Source organism: Homo sapiens, chromosome 1, assembly GCF_000001405.40.
Source record: "Homo sapiens chromosome 1, GRCh38.p14 Primary Assembly".
NCBI lineage: Eukaryota > Metazoa > Chordata > Mammalia > Primates > Hominidae > Homo > Homo sapiens.
In genome coordinates, this window is record NC_000001.11 from 144,036,029 (window position 1) to 144,053,406 (window position 17,378).

General features: G+C 41.3%; 1 pseudogene across 1 annotated transcript in view; it reads left to right on the forward strand.

Annotated features, from left to right (window-relative positions):
* The window catches only part of SRGAP2D (SLIT-ROBO Rho GTPase activating protein 2D (pseudogene)), a 97,066-nt pseudogene that overhangs the window by 63,390 nt on the left and 16,298 nt on the right, over positions 1-17,378 (forward strand). The window contains exon 3 of the transcript NR_120535.1: positions 9,719-9,781. The product of NR_120535.1 is annotated as an SLIT-ROBO Rho GTPase activating protein 2D (pseudogene) (transcript). The remainder of the gene's footprint in view (positions 1-9,718; positions 9,782-17,378) is intronic.

Genomic DNA, 17,378 nt, shown 5'->3' on the forward strand with positions numbered 1-17,378 from the left:
GCATATCTTCTGATTCTTAAAGAGGCAGCTGAGAGGCTAGAAATCTTTCCAGCAAAACTTACTTTTTTTTTTTTTTTTTTTTTTGAGACGGAGTCTTGCTCTGTCGCCCAGGCTGGAGTGCAGTGGCGCAATCTTGTCTCACTGCAAGCTCCGCCTCCCGGGTTCACGCCATTCTCCTGCCTCAGCCTCCCAAGTAGCTGGGACTACAGGCGCCCACCACCACGCCGGGCTAATTTTTTGTATTTTTAGTAGAGACGGAGTTTCACCGTGTTAGCCAGGATGGTCTTGATCTCCTGACCTCGTGATCCGCCTGCCTCTGCCTCCCAAAGTGCTGGGATTACAGGCGTGAGCCACCGAGCCCGGCCACTTTCAAACATTCATGGTGCTAGAGGCTCAAAATTTAGGACCTGCCAAGGAGAGTGGGCCGTGGCAAATATCTTTGGCTTTGGGTTGCTATTCTGAGGTGCTGAACTTTAGGATCGAGTATGAACGGAAAATTGACTAGCCCTCATAGAGACTGAGGCCCAGCTTCATACCCTCTCATTCCCTGACTGGGTTAAGGATCTTGATTGGATGGCCAGTTTTCTTAGCTCCATCTCAGAAGCAAAGGACGATCCTCTTGGAGAAGTCTTAAATTATTTCTCTAATTTCTATATTTTTTCATATAAAATGTCCAGTATGCAGTTAAAAACAGCCAGGCATATGAGGTAACATAACAAAATAATTTGAAACTAAGAGACGTAATAAATAATAGAAACAGATCCACAGAGTATCCAGATAATGGAGTCATCAGGTATGGATTTAAAAATAACTTTTCAAAATATGTTTAAGGGTAAGATAAAAACAAGATATATTATTTTGGCAGAGAACTGGAAATTCAAAACTGGATAAAGTGACAAATATAAAACTAAAAATATAATAAATGAAAGTAAGAATTTAGTGGATGGGTTTTATGCAGAGTGAATAGAAAAGAGTGATGGATGAATTCTCAATAGAAAAAAAGGAATCCAGAAAAAAATGGATTTATATCTTCAAAATAAGGAAAATAACATACAAATAAAATTCTCTACAGTGTGAAAATATCCTTTAAAATGAAGGTGACAAGTTCTTCCATGCAAATATGATTTGGGAAAATTTTAACAAAAGGGCTTATGATGAACATGGACTATATATATATATATATATATATATATATATATATATATATTTTAAATTATACTTTAAGTTCTAGAGTACATATGCACAATGTGCAGGTTTGTTACATATGTATACATGTGCCATGTTGGTGTGCTGCACCCATTAACTCTTCATTTACAATAAGTATATCTCCTAATACTATCCCTCCCACCTCCCCCCACCCCATGACAGGCCCCTGTGTGTGATGTTCCCCATCCTGTGTCCAAGTGTTCTCATTGTTCAGTTCCCACCTATGAATGAGAACATGCCGTGTTTGGTTTTTTTTTTCCTTGCGATAGTTTGCTCAGAATGATGGTTTCATCCATGTCCCTACAAAGGACATGAACTCATCCTTTTTTATGGCTGTATAGTATTCAAACATGGAATATATTTTAAGATAGATATAAGACTAAAGCAAAGGTAAGGAAAGGGTGGAAGAATAATGTGTGTAAATGATATATGTTCTGAAAAATAGAAATAAAGCCAATAAAAATGGGAGCAGAATGGAGGAAGGCAGATAAAAAGGGGAGAATAGAATCAGACTGTCACAAAGTTAATAAATAATTGGGAGTCAAAGAATTCATTATTGAAAGCTGACAAACCAGATAGTAGGAGAGTAAGAACAAAAGGGGGCTAAGGACATTATAAAAAGTATTAGTATAAAGATAACCACTAGAACAAAAATGCGGACTCCCCTAAATAGAAAAACAGGCAAAGAAAACAAATCACAGAGTGAATTTAACATAATAGAAACAGTAAAAATAATATAAAATAATATGACAGGCTTAAGACTAAATATATCAGTAATATAAATATATAAATGAGCTGAAAATCACCTAATAAAAGGAAAATATTTTCAGATTGACTTTCAAGCAAAACCAATTCATTGCTCTGTAGAAGAGACATACCTAAAACAAAAGGATTCAGAAAGGATAAAACTAGTAGGATGACTTAAAGGCATACAAAGATGCTCTTAGCAGTGTTAATTATAAGACCCAAATAACTACCAAAATGCTCTTCAGAAGTAGAATGAATAAACAAAGTGTGGTGTATTCATACAGTGGAATACTACGTATATAATGAGAGTATGAATATGAATTTTACAAAACAACATGGATGAATCTCATAGTAAGGAGTGAAAGAGGCATGAAACAAGAGTGCATCCTATATGATTCCATTTATGTGAAATTTTAAAAGAGGCAGGACCAATCTATGGTGATAGTAATCCGTATCATGGTCACCCTTATGGAAGGGTAATGACTGGAAGGGAAGCCAAAGGGGCTTTCAGAGCACTAGCGATGCTCTATTTTTTATCTGGGTGCTGGTTGCATGATTTTGTTAACTTTGTGAAAATTCTTTAAGCTGGATACTTAAGAGTTGTGTTCCTTTCTGTATCTACGTTACATTTTAATAAAAGGTTTACATTTAAAAATATAAACTATTTACAAGCAGAAGATGAGGCTTGGGGTAAAGTCCCATGGAATAGCTGGACTTAGAGTCATCAGAGAGAATGATTTTTAATTCCAATTTCTATGAACACTGCCTCTAGGCTCTAAAGGCCATTTTCTTTTCTTTATGACACTTCAAGGTTGCTCCCTAGATTTGTTTTTGCCATCTCCAAATTAAAAATAGAGTCTAGAAAAACAGGGTAGAGAATGCAGAAGTACAGCCGAATACACAAAGGCATTTGGCATAGAGTAAACCATGGTATTTCAAATTGGTGGGATGGGAGAGAGGAATGGATTTTTCAATAACTGGTTTTGAGACAACTGGGTAGCCATTTGGGAAAAAATTAAATTGGATCCCTGTCTTCCTCCTTATATGGAAGTAAATTTTATATTGATTAAAATATACATGTACAAAATGAAACCATAAAAATATTAAAAGAAAATATAGAGGTATATATTTTTAAACCATGGAATATAATGTAAGCCTGACTGAAAATTCAGGAGCTATGTAAGAAAAGATTGACAAATTTTAAAAGTTCTACATGGTTAAAAATAATATCATAAAACCAAAAGATGGACTGGGAAAAATATTTGCAACACATGAGAAGGGGCTAATTTCCTTTATAAAGTGTTCACACAGTCAACAAAAAGTCAAAAAAGATCAGTAATCCAAAGAAAAAATGAGTAAAGAACATGAACTGTTGTTTCAAACAGACTAACTAAATAACTTACTAACACCCGCAAAGACTTATTGCAACATGGAAACCTATGAACATAGGAAATGAATGATGCCAGGTCTTATTCATAATAGAGGAATACAAATTAAATTGCAAGTACAGTATGTAGTCATTTTTCACATATTAGATAAAAAACATTTGCTCATACATTGCATTCTGAGTACAGAGTAGCAAGAAGTCTCCTATATTGTTGAATGGGCAGTATTAGAAATAATTTAAAATGTATATACCCTTTGACTTACTGGTTTCCTTCTACCACTTTATTCTGTAGATACACCCACATCTACATTCATTACAACATTGTTTATGGCAGCAAAAAATTGGAAACAATGGCAGGTACCACCAAAAAAAGAGACCGGTTGAATAAACAAAAGCATAGCTATGCAGTGGAATGCTATGCAGCTGGTAGAAAGAAGGGGCAGATTGATATGTACTAATATGAAAAATCTCCAAGACACACTGTTAAATGAAAAAAATGTGGCACACGTGCCACGTTTTAAAAAGGGAAGGGGCATATACACAGATGCTTGTTTACACAGTTAGTATTTCTTGAAGGATATATAAGAAAATGGTTTCCTCAGAGGTATAGACCTTTGGGGAAGGGTAGGGATGAGAGGGAAACTTACTTGTCATTGTTTACTGTTTTGTATTGAGAATGTTTCCCCCAGGTGAATGACTGTTATACCTATTTAGGAAAACAGACAAAACCAATAAAACCAAACTATTTCTATACAGTGATTATTAGCAGAGATGCCATTGGCATTTTAGATGCATTTTGGGACTGTTCCACACATTTAGGACATTACATTCCTTTCCCTTTGCACTAAATGCCAGTAGCACTTCCCTAGACACTGACAAACAAAAAGTGCCCCTGTAGATTTCTGAAAAGGCCAGGGTGTGGATTGGGGTGGTGGTGTTGTTTGAGTCTAAAAGAATGTAACTTCTCTTCAGGGTTTCCCAGTTTCCAGGTTATGTTGGCCTGGCAGGGAGGGTCTTGACCGACACGGATGGTTATGGACCTTTACTTAGTGAAAAACTCAAATGAACTTCCTTTCTAGAACTCATGGTTTTCATTCAGTGACACTGGACTTTGCCCTGGAGCAGTGACTGGTCAGGGAGCTGTATCTAAGTGGGAGTTGCACCTGTGTGGGCAAAAGTGTGGCACTCAGATTTTCGTAACAATGGGCAAGATTTCAGGAAGCAGGATTTTGGTTCCCTTACTTTAAAATGCATGGAGAATGGCTGGGTTTGGTGGCCCATGCCTGTAATCCCAGCACTTTGGGAGGCCAAGGTGGGCAGATCACCTGAGGCCAGGAGTTCAAGACCAGCCTGGCCAACATGGCAAAACTCCATCTCTACTAAAAATACAAAGCCTAGCATGGTGGAACATGCCTGTAGTCCCAGCTACTTGGGAGGGTGCGGCACGAGAATCACTTGAGCCCAGGAGGCAGGGGTTGCAGCAAGCCGAGATCACACCACTGCACTCCAGCTTGGGCAACAGACCGAGACTCCATCTCAAAAAAAAAAAAAAAAAAAAAAAATTAAAAAAAGCATAGAGGACTGGTTGTATCCTAATAGCACTGGTCCATTTTTCTGTGGTGTGCATTTTAGCTTTTTTCCTAACAAAAAAATCTTACCACATGATTCTCTGCCAACAGATTTTCCTGAGCTGGAAGGAACAGATGTTTCTGTTGGAAATGGGCATCTGTTTCTCCCCTCGCTGTGGCGTGTGCTTCCTATGAGCCCAGGCCCAGGTAACAGTGAATTATCATTAGAAGGCTCTCTCGTAAGACTCATGGGGAAGAACCTATAAGACCCTAGTCTTCCAGGAGGCCAGAAGGAGAGTAGAATGGAGGGTGAGCTTCAGAGCACTGAGACTGCAAAGGGGAACAGAGCTGCTGTCCTGTCTGCTTGGCAGTGACCAGCAGCTGCTTCTGGCCCTCCTGAAACAGGAGGCGAGTTACTGAGACAGTAGAGAAACCCTGAGTCTTTAGAACTGTATTATCTACCTGGGCCTTATAACCTGGACATGCCCAGGGGTAAAATATATCCAAGTAGAAATCTTCCTTCTCAGAACATACCCAGAAATAATGATTCTCTATTTTGAGTACTTTCTTGTGCAGTATACTAACCAGGTGCCTACTGCTATAAATTAATTTTTTTATTTTTCGTTTTTCTCTTTTTTGATGGAGTCTCGCTCCGTCACCCAGGCTGGAGTGCAGTGGCACGATCTCGGCTCTCTGCAGTCTCAACCTCCTGGGTTCAAGCGATTCTCCTGCCTCAGCTTCCTGAGTAGCTGGGACTGCAGGCATGCGCCACCATGCCCAGCTAATTTTTGCATTTTTGGTAGAGGTGGGGTTTCACCATGTTTGCCAGGCTGGTCTTGAACTCCTGAGCTCAGCTCCTCCACTCACCTCAGCCTCCCAAAGAGCTGGGATTACAGGCGTGAGCCACTGTGCCCAGCAATTTTTTTCTTTAGTCTAAGTGTGCACATTAATGCATAGGAAATCCCCATCTTTCCCCAACCCCCTAGTTTTTCTTTTCCTCTTTTTAAAAACTGGATTTTCATTCATTCTTTCCCTTTCCGCCTCCCATCCCCTGCCCTCCCCAAGGCGTGTTGTAGGTACCCCCAGACCATTGCGTTAAAGCGTTCAGGATAGTGCTCTGCTGATTTTAAAAAAAACATTTAAAATAACATTTCCTGCTTTTTCTAATTAGAAAAGCAACATGCTTATCATAGACAGTTTGGAAAATACAGAAAAGCAAAGTGAAGAAAATAATTATCAAGGAAAACGATATGCCTTTCTTTTAAGCCATCATTTTCTCTCCATCTTTGCAGCCACAAAGTCCTTTGTTCCACTTTTTACGTCTTAGAGTAGCTGGGGGTTGGCACACAGATGGTTGGAAGTCCTTGGATCTCACTGTGTTATAAGAGTACAGAAATACAGCAGGCAGCTCTTTGGCTTTGTTTTGAAGCCCTGAAGAATGGGAGAATGCTCTGCATCACTGGAGAACATTTGACTGCATTCATCTCCCAACAAGAGTGGTTGCTGGGAGGAATGAGCAGAAGGAGTGGTGTGTACCAGACTGTACAGGAGTCTTTCCTCCCTAGGCCTGGTCAGCTTTTGCCCTTGGACAGGGGAAGAGGATATCTGGGGATTTATATTTTCTATCAGAATTTGAGCCTTGTCACCTTGGCTGTCCCTCTGTGTCCTTGGGTTTTTAAAATGGAACCTCTTTGTTGTAAAATATTAGTTGTACAGTTGAATTTTTCAGAGTAGAATTGGGATCCAGAGTGAGAAACTTTCTCCCTGAAGGGGCTCCCTGGACTTTTGCTCTTGGCGAGTTGCTGGCAGATACTGACACTAGAAATAAGTGTCAGAGAGGTCTGATATCACTTCAGTTTCAGACTGACCCCAGAGCAACCCTTGAGGACAGCAGTGTGTAAGCTCAAAAAAGATTGTTCTAATTTTGATGACCCTCAGAGTTAAGGCTTCTAGGGGAACTCTTCATTTTCGTAAAAATCCGTCTGTGGGTGGTCACTGTGTTGAGAGATGAGAATTTATGGGTTGAAGTTGTTTTTATGATTTCAGAATAAGTGCTTCTACAACGGGATATTGGGCTTGGGAGTGTAGATGTTGCGGGACCAGGAGCTTTGCAGACTTCCCTTGTTCCCAATTTCTTGGATTTTTTTTTTCTATCCCTTCATTCAGTTGATTCTGATGTCCTAGTATTTTTTCCTAGATCCCAGATCAAGAGATACTTTTATTCCTAATTCTCCCTCTGAAAATTCTATGTCTTTCAGAACAAGATAGGGGAAAAGAGAAATGAGCTTATTAAAAACTATGATATCACAAGGTCAGGAGTTCAAGACCAGCCTAACTAACATGGTGAAACCCCGTCTCTACTAAAAATACAAAAATTATCTGGGTGTGGTGGCATGTGCCTGTAATCCCAGCTACTCAGGAGGCTGAGACAGGAGAATCGCTTGAACCCGGGAGGCGTAGGTTGCAGTGAGCCGAGATTGTATCACTGCACTCCAGCCTGGGTGACAAAGCAAGACTCAGTCTCAAAAACAAAAACAAAAACAAACTACTATGGGCTGGGCATGGTGGCTCATGCCTGTAATCCCAGCACTTTGGGAGGCCAAGGCAGGAGGATCACTTGAGCCTAGGAGTTGAAGACCAACCTGGACAATGTAGTGAGACCTTATCTCTACTAAAAATAAAAAATAAAAAATTCACCGGGTGTGATGGTGTGTTCCTGTAGTCCCTGCTAATCCCAGAGGCTGGAGTGGGATGATTGCCTTACCCCAGGAGTTCAAGCTTGCAGTGAGCTATGATCATGCCGCTGCACTCCAGCCTGGGTGACGCAGCAAGACCCTGTCTAAAACAAACAAACAAAAAACTAGGGTGGTTAAAAAAAAATCTTGGTGAACAACCTCTCTTGTGGATTGTAATTTCTCAAAGAAAAATATGATGTAAAGATTCTTTCTTTTACTCTCCCTTCCGGGTGTCTCATCAAAAAGCGTATATTCCTGAGCTTTGCTGGCAATCGTATTATTTTTTCTCTCCACCTCAGTCCCTGTAACTTTCCTCTTTGTCCATTCTGGAGTTGTGGAGGTGATAAATGGGTCCAAAAATGCTGTTAAGAGTGATCTTTAGGTGGGCACAGGTTCTTTATGATATATCCCTAATCAAGAGCCTTTACAGGTTCTCCCCAAAGTCTCTTTGTGCAGGAATGGGAGCCTGCTGTGTTTTAGACTGGATGGGGCTCTGACCAAGTATTTTTTGTCTTTCTCCGCAGGGCATAGTAGTAGGTGCTCAGTGAAGATTTGTTGGATTGAAGTGGTTTGAATTAAATATGATTTGTATGTAATTTTATATTCAAATAAAGTCTGTTCCTGGTCTGAGTTACTTTTCAAATTATATATTGTTACTCTGAAGATTGTCATTTCCTGAATTTTATTTTCTTTGTTCCTTTTCACCCACTTGCTTCCATTGTTCCAAATTTAGTCGTGTTGGAAATCAGACTAGGTAGGTGTGGAAATAATTGTCGAATCAAATTGTTCAGTCAGGGGAAGGTGGGGGGTAGATGGCTAAAGACATCAGAATCTTTTGTCTGGGTTTTAGGGTCAGAAAATGGAAACTGGCAGAGCAAAAAGGTCAAAAAGTATCAGGAATACCCTGCTTTGCTTTAAATCTCTATTTGCCTTAGAGCAGTCATCTGTAGTGTGGTGACCACAGGCTTTCTAATGTCTATGGGTTTAACCCCCTAGAGAGCAATTCCTTTGGGGTGAGGAGACTGGAGGGGATATTCTTCCCTTCCAGGGGTCTTCTCATTGCCTTCTTTTTAATTTTTTAAATTTAAATTTTTTTTTTTTTTTTGAGACAGAGTCTCACTCTGTCACCAGGCTGGAGTGCAATGGCGCAATCTCGGCTCACTGCAACCTCCACCTTCTGGGTTCAAGCAATTCTCCTGCCTCAGCCTCCTGAGTAGCTGGGACTACAGGCGTGTGCCATCAGGCCCGGCTAATTTTTGTATTTTTAGTAGAGATGGGGTTTCACTATGTTGGCCATGCTGGTCTCGAATTCCTGACCTCAGCTGATCCACCCACCTCGGCCTCTCAAAGTGCTGGGATTACAGGTGTGAGCCACCGTGCCCAGCCCTCATTCTTTATTTCTACTGCTCTATGTAGTTAGATGTCAGCCCTGGGTGGCAGCAGCAAAGAACCCAGGAGCCATCACTGCTCAAGATTAACTAGTTGGAGACCCCTTAACATATATTTTCAGCATCTAGTAACAGCTAATCTCGCAGGCAGTCAATATTGAGATACCGCTGCCTTGTGAGTTTTGGGTAGAAATAAAGCAAGTAAGAAATATAGTTCCATCCTGCTTGGAGTTTTCTATTTAGTTAGGGACTTTGAAGTCCCTGAATGTTTATATACTTTTTCCTATTTCATCCCATTACACATCTTACTTTCCTTTGAAATCTTCTGGAATGCTTGACTGCAAGTATCTGAGAAACCATGTTCCACCTAACAACAGTTGCTAGGTAGGATGTGGCTTTCAGGCCTGCTCTTTGGGGACCAATAGAAAAACCAAAGGCTACCACCCTTTTTCCCTCTACGCAATTGCCTTTGCTAGGCTATAGAGAGGGCACATTTCATTTTATTAAAACTCTTTGAGTAATCTGACCATAATTGGGTCTGATTGGAGTGGTTATCTGATTTGCTGGGTTAAATAATGGGCCTTAATTGAGTCTGGGTTATTTGTAGAGCCAGTGTGGCTTTTGCCTTCATTGCTCCCTCCTCTCTCTTCTGTTTCCCAATTAACCTTCATTCCTCTTTCCTTGCAGAGTAAAGAAGTCGGCCAGCAGCTCCAAGATGATTTGATGAAGGTCCTGAACGAGCTCTACTCGGTAAATCAGATGGGTTGCTTGGCTCTTTAACAAGCAGAGGGAAGCAGCATTTGGCAGCTTGCAGCCATAGTACATCAGCAACAGAACTGAACTGAGGTTGAGGACAAGTGCATGGTCCCCACTGGGGGTGACCCCACCCATCTCTTTTTTCACACTCGTCTTTTCAAAATGGAATGAGTCAAAAAATACTTCCTCAAAATAAGTTTTCTCCTCAGCTATGCAAGCTCACCCTGGCTTTATTTGGGGCATAATTACTAGAGACCAGCCAAAGTCTAGGTCATTGGCACAATGGACCCCGTTAGCAGCAAACCAGGGACCCTGAACTAATGGCAAGGAACGTAGCCTGCATTGCACTATTAATATGTGCCTGTCGGAAAGGCTTTATTGTTCTAGGTTTTTCATCAGATCTTGGATTGATGTATGGCTTTGAGACTAGAACAAATGCTCTAGAGGGCAGCACAGAGTCCTAAATGCCCCCAGTAAGAGGGACGAGTTTGAGCAGAGAGAGCTTTGCACTGGCTTCCTGGAGTTTTATAAAACCAAACCTCAGTGACGAGGCAGGCTGCGGGCTTGGAGAAGAGAACACAATCTGTTCTGAGATGACTGGCGCTTCAGGCACATGATGCCTGTGGCTGGTGCGTGTTAATTCATGCGCAGAGAGGTGGTGGTGGTGGTTGTTCCCCACCCATGTTTTTCTAATTATAATGAAAACAAACACACACTCACACACATACACACCAAGGAAATTCCTGTTGTTATACAGGGAATACTTAAGTTATACAGCTAATGCCTTTCAGGGGCCCCTTCTCCAGCTTGGATGTGCCAGCCTACTATGTCATTCTCCAGGGTTTCTCCATCCTGTTTGAAGGTGATACTGATTTCTGATGTTTACTTGCTTATTTGCTGCATTTTTTCTTTTCTTTTCTTCCTTTGTTTTTTTTTTTTAATTCACAGAACAGGCAGTGGTGACATGCATGACAGGCATTTGGGATCAGATGTTGCTGATCCAGAAGCCTAGGTGTGGCCATTTTGTCATGGCAACTGTTAAGCAAGTAAATAGGGTAGAGTAGTCATCTGACTTATCTCCAGCGATGTTCAGTTTGTTTTGAATTTCTACTCTGTGACACTTCTGCTCTGAAGCCAAGCATAGATAGATGGTACCTTTCGTTCAACTCCCAAGTTTTCATTTCTCTCAAATGAAGTTAAGAGGTTTTTAAAATAGAAACACATCGATGTGAGCCATTTTCAGACTGGATGGGTTTCCTGAACCTTGTCTTTTTAATGCTTTACTTCTGCTCTTTTAGATCAATTTCTAAGCGCCAAGAAGAGCTATTACTCCTTTCTCCTAGCAGAGAATTCCCTAAGATAGAAAATGACACATGTAGTCATTGTATAAATTCTTTTATTTTCCTGTAAGCATCTTGACCCTCTACTATTTGCAGCTGTTTCTGGGGAGGAGTAGTTTGGATAACCAACAAACCTTGCCACTTCTTCAGTGGGACTCAAGGCAGCAGAAGAAGACTACTGTCTAAGGATCTGTTAGCTTTTACCCAGGGTCCTATGTCTCTTCATATGCTGTGCTTTAAAAAAAAAAAATAAGTGAAAGGGCGTAAGCTGTGTTTGAGTGAGGAAGAAAACCTTGGAACTTATTTCTCTGGTCTGCAGAGGGCCGAGCTGCTACCTCTGACTGCAGACTTAAGACAGCCCAATATTGGCCAACTACTTTACTGGCCATTGTGAGGCCATGGTCAACATAGAGCATAACATCTTCCCATTGATGTTCAAACTGAGAATTGCCTGAGTGTGGTATCCCCTGCCATAAGGTGAGCTGGAATACACCCTCATAATCTGTTAAAGGCCAAAATTAAAATGTGATGTTTTCCTCTAGTAGGCAATGGAAAGAGGGAAAAAAGAGTAGAGGCACTAGGAAGTTTCAGAGAAGTCAAAACATTCTGGTCCAAATGGAGTTTTAAGCAGAGGGAGTTTTACCCCGAGAGGACATTTGGCAATGCCTGAAGACATTTTTGATTGTCACGACTGGAGGAGTAGAAGGTGCTGCTGACATCTAATGATCTAGAGGCCAGGGGTTCTGCTAAAATCCTACAGTGCACAGGGCAGCTCCCACAACAAAGAATTATCTGACCCACAATGTCAATATAGAGACATTGAGAATCTTCTGACCCACAAGATTGAGAAATGCTGGTCTAGTGACTAGAGTCTCCTGAATTAAGCAGCCTAGATTCTACCCTGTCTTGACTACTAGCTGTATGAGCTTGAGGGATACCCCAAACCTCTATGACCTTGGTGTCTGCATACACTCCATGCACTGGTATTTCTATATCCTAGGGGGTGGAGTAGTTGGGTGAGTTATACTTCCTGAAATATTAGGCTATAGCTAAGGATCAAATAGGTTTCCAGAGTCTGTAGGCCATTAGAAAGTTCAGTGAGCCAGGCTCATGCCTGTAATCCCAGCACTTTGGGAGGCTGAGGCAGGCAGATCACGAGGTCAGGAGATCGAGACCATCCTGGCTAACACGGTGAAACCCTGTCTCTACTAAAAATACAAAAAAAATTAGCTGGGCATGGTGGCGGGTGCCTGTAGTCCCAGCTACTGGGGAGGCTGAGGCAGGAGAATGGCGTGAACCTGGGAGGCAGAGCTTGCAGTGAGCCGAGATCGTGCCACTGCACTCCAGCCTGGGCAACAGAGCGAGACTCTGTCTCAAAAAAAAAAAAAAAAGAAAAAGGAAAAAAAGAGAAAGTTCAGAGAATAGCCGGTCACAGTGGCTCATGCCCGTAATCCCAGCACTTTGGGAGGCTGAGGTGGGCGGATCATGAGGTCAGGAGATCGAGACCATCCTGGCTGACACGGTGAAAACCCATCTCTACTAAAAATATATTAAAAACTAGCCGGGCATGGTGGTGGGCGCCTATAGTCCCAGCTACTCAGGAGGCTGAGGCAGGAGAATGGCATGAACCCAGGAGGCAGAGCTTGCAGTGAGCCAAGATCGTGCCACTGCACTCCAGCCTGGGGGACAGAGCAAGACTCGGTCTCAAAAAAAAAAAAAATAATAGCAGTTCAGAGAATAGAATTATTTCTTCTGGAGATTAAGATAGGTTTAGGACTGGTCTGAATAAGGCACCATGGGATTACGGTGACTAACTGTCCCTCTTTGCCTAGTACTGAAGAGTTTCCTGGGACATGAAATTGTCAGTGCTGAAACTGGAAAAGTTCTAGGTTAAAAAGGGTTAATTGGTCACCTTGCATGGTAGAGTGGTTTTATCAGGTGGGAAGCTGGGACTGTTACATGCTAGCTTTGGGAAGCTGCTTGCTGTATGCACACCTTTGAGGAGTCAAGAAGAGAACAAGGGAGAGTTTCTTAGAAGGAGCTTTCCCATTATTTGCTTGTCAGGAAGGCAGGGAAGGGCCTCTCATTTCAATGACGTTGTAGGCAATAGAAGTTATTTGGGGTCACTGGAAAAAGGAAACCAAGGATATAAGAAACCCACCCAGTTTTTTCATGTCCTTCACATCTGCTCCTAATGCCCATGAATACCTTTTTTTAGGGGACTAGTTATCCAAGGGTTGGTAATTTTAGTACCTTTGAACCTTGATGATCCAAGGAGCAGGACCCAGGTGTTCCCAAATAAAGATGCCTTTGGGCACCGGGCCCAGAATGCCGCCATGAGTGGCCAGCTGCCCCTCTGCACCTTCCTCTTTTCTGCCTGAAGGGCCTTTGATTTCCCTGACTTGGCATTCTGTGCTGGGGCCTGCTTCCCACAGCTGCTATTCAGAGAGCAATCCTAGCGAGCATTCTTCTCCACGTGTTTTCCCCCCATAATGAGCTGGCTTGTATGTAAGCCATGGCATAAGTGGTTTTCATTTTCTGACTGATGCACCGGGAATGCCTTTGAAGTCAGAACACACTGCTTCCCAAAGAACTCTGGGATTCTTTGCCTCAGTTGTACTCAGAGGTCGTGTCTGGAAAAACCCAGCAAACCCCCACAGGAAGGAGTGTACATGGAGGCACTGAAGCCAGTGTGGATTGGCTGAGTATGAAGAGTCAAGGAAGCTCTAGAATTGAGAAAAAAGAGGCTTTGGGACAATTTGGGGCTGTTGTTATTCCAGAGGCCTTATGCTTCTGTACTCCCCCTAAATTTACATCCCGTTGGCTTGGAGCATCGGCTGTGTGCTGGCAGAGCTACTTCAGACTGGTATTTAGCACCTGTTCCCTTGAAACAATGGCACTTAATAGTCCCTCAACTCTGCTTGCCTATTTGACTCTGGCACTAGGCACTAGGGAGACAAGAACAAATAAGAGATGTTTCTGACCTCAAGGCATTTAGTTTTAATAGGGAGAGACAGAAAAGTAAAGCATCAAGTGAAAAATGAAGTGACAAGAACTCATTTACATGTCTGCACAGAGGACAGGGATGAAGTCAGGCTCCGATACTTGAATTGAATCTTTATTGCCAAGAACTCTTTTCTTGTTCTCTACATGTTCCCTTTTTTGTTGCATCCAACTTTTGTTTCATGATGCAGTATCGTTTTATTTCTCATTTATCTCTCCAGGGCTATTATGGATATATTGTTTTCAAACTTTTCTTCTTGTTGTATAATATTTCTTCTAAATTGCTAGTTTTGGTCTTGGTCTTTCATATTAGACATTTCCTTTAAATGCCTGGTCATTCTTAGCTGCCTATTCACATTTTAAAGTGAGGCACTAAAAGATTCTATGTCAGCTGTGGCCTTCACAGTAGGGTGTTCTAACTGGGCTGTGTCCTTGTGGAAGCCCCAACTTTAGTATTTCTAGGTCTCTTATCTTGGATGGTCAGATTGCCGAGAGATCACACTTTTGATCTCCCACTCATGTCTGGGAGCTGAGTTGTGAAGAGGCCTAGACCATCTCAAAATTTAACATAGACTTCAGCTAATCCTCCTGTTGAAGTTCAGTATACCCGTATCCTCAGCTGAACCTTGTATCCCCTAGTCCATGGAACCTCTCTAACAGAATAAACCTCTCATCTAGTCTTCCACTACAATGGGAGAGGGGATCTTGGGGCCTCACTGTTCTCAGACTTCCTTTTTTTTTTTTTTTTTTTTTTTTTTTTTTTGAGATGGAGTCTCGCTCTGTTGCCCAGGCTGGAGTGCAGTGGCGTGATCTCGGCTCACTGCAAGCTCCACCTCCCAGGTTCATGCCATTCTCCTGCCTCAGCCTCCCGAGTAGCTGGGACTACAGGCACCCGCCACCACGCCCAGTTAATTTATTTTTGTATTTTTAGTAGAGACGGGGTTTCATCGTGTTAGCCAGGATGGTCTCAATCTCCTGACCTCGTGATCCGCCCACCTGGGCCTCCCAAAGTGCTGGGATTACAGGCATGAGCCACCATGCCCGGCCTGTTCTCAGACTTTCAATAGCTTATTTTGTGTTTAGCTCTACCTTCATCCCACTGCTACTTATTTCTCTTCGGGCTTCTGTGATATAAATCTGGCTGCTTCCTGGCTCACTCTAGTTTTGGTTTAGGACTCAAGTAGATGAGTTACTGCTTGCCTACCTGCTTTTCGGCTTCAGCTTCCATTCTTTTTGTTTTTCTCAATTTATACCTAAATGATAATCATTTTAGAACCTTTTTTTTCCTATTATTTTAGTGTGGCTGTCAGAGGGAGCAGAGCTAAATATGTGACTTCAGTGTTTAGTTTTTCAAAGTAAAGTGGAATGTTCTTTGCAGAACTGAGAATTTAGACTTTTCAGTTTTTCCCCATAGTTTGCATTTGCCTATCTATATATAGATAGAAGTATGTATATGTATATCTTTATGTATACATATCTATATATACATATATGAGTAGCTATATGTCTAAGACATAGATATATAGATATACATATATTTACATATGTATATGTACATAGATCTATATATCTAAGTCCTATCTTGGCTTTCTCTAAGTCCTATCTTGACTATAAATATATATTTATAAATATATATTTAACATGTATATCTGTATCTATATACATTTCTAAGTCCTGTCTTGACTTTCCTATTTTTTCAATTGTTTTGGCATCACTTATTTAAGCTTCAGCTTCTAGGTACCTCAGTTTTCTCTTGAGCTGGAAGGCACTAATAAAGCTTCTCCAGTATTTACCCAGAAGAGAGATTCAGTGTCATTCAGTCATTTGGGCAACCACTTTGTAAAACTACCATTGTGTATATGACATATTTCTCCACTGTGAGAAGAAAACACAAAAGAAGTAGAGCTTAGCGTGAAGAATGTATAGTTTCTTAGGCAAAGTAGCGTTTTACTCTCTTTTAACAAGAAAGTTCTTTAAGTTTTTTAGGGGAAAGTAACATTGTAAATTGTTGATTTTTGTTACTTCATTTGTTGACTTGGTAGCGCTATTCTTTGACCTCTTTTTTATCTCATGTTTATTCATAACGTTTTCTCTTTATCATGCACCTTCATGAAATAGGAAATCACTTTAAAAAAGAAAAAAAGCACTCACTTTTGTAACTTCTCACTAAGCTTTTGAATCCCATGGTCAGATTCAGGTGGAAAAAGAGAAAAAAAAGAGGAGCCTCCTATCTACACTTCTTCAGCTGAGATAACAGATGCCTCTTTTCCACTTCTTAGTTAACCTGGAAAGCTGGGGGTCTGTTCGAATTACTTAGAAAGGCTTTTAAACGCCATTAGTTGTTAAGTATTTTTTCTTCTGTATAGAAAATATGAAGAGTATTATCCTGGTAAAATTTACGGGAAGTAGTGTTAGGTTCAGAATGAGGTGAAACTGATTTAAAACATTCTGCATTCAAAATGAGACATAATTTAGACTCTAATGTACTTTGATTTTGTCAGTGTCCCAGTATTCTTTATTCTTTCGTCTGCCTCTAGCTGATCGTAGGTGCTAGATTAGTATACCCACAAAGTCTTTCTAAGCTAGATTTTCTCAACGTCAGCACCATTGACATTTGGGCCAGATAATTAGTTGTTGTGGGGGCCGTCCTGTGCATGGGATGTTCAGCAGCATCCCTGACCTCTAACTACTAGATGCCAGTAGCAATCCCCAAGTTGTGACAATCAAAAATATTTCCAGACACTGCCACATTTCCCCTGGGGGCCAAAACAGCCCCAGGTTGAGACACTTCTCTAACTCAGGTTCATACATGGAACCAGTTTCTCTTTTCAGGAATATCTTGACCATATTTAACCTTTCCTCCCAACCAGTTCAGCTCCAGTCCTATCCAGAGGAGAGTCGGTGTTGCTTAATGGCTAAGAATGTGGTCTTTGGAGTCTGACAGACCTGGGTTTGAATCCTGATTCCACCATTTACTCATTGTATGACCTTGGGTATGATAGTTAATCTCTCTGAGCCTTATTTCCTTATCTTTAGAAATAGAAATAATAACAGTGCCTTTCACAGAGTTATTGTAAGAATTAAATGAGGTAATGTACGTAAAGCCCATGGTACACAATGTTTATTAAGTGGTAGATATTAATAATAATATTGTACCTTTGCACTCCTGTGTTACACACACACATGCACACACACACACACACACACACACACACGCACACACACACCCAACTTCTACTCTCTAATTC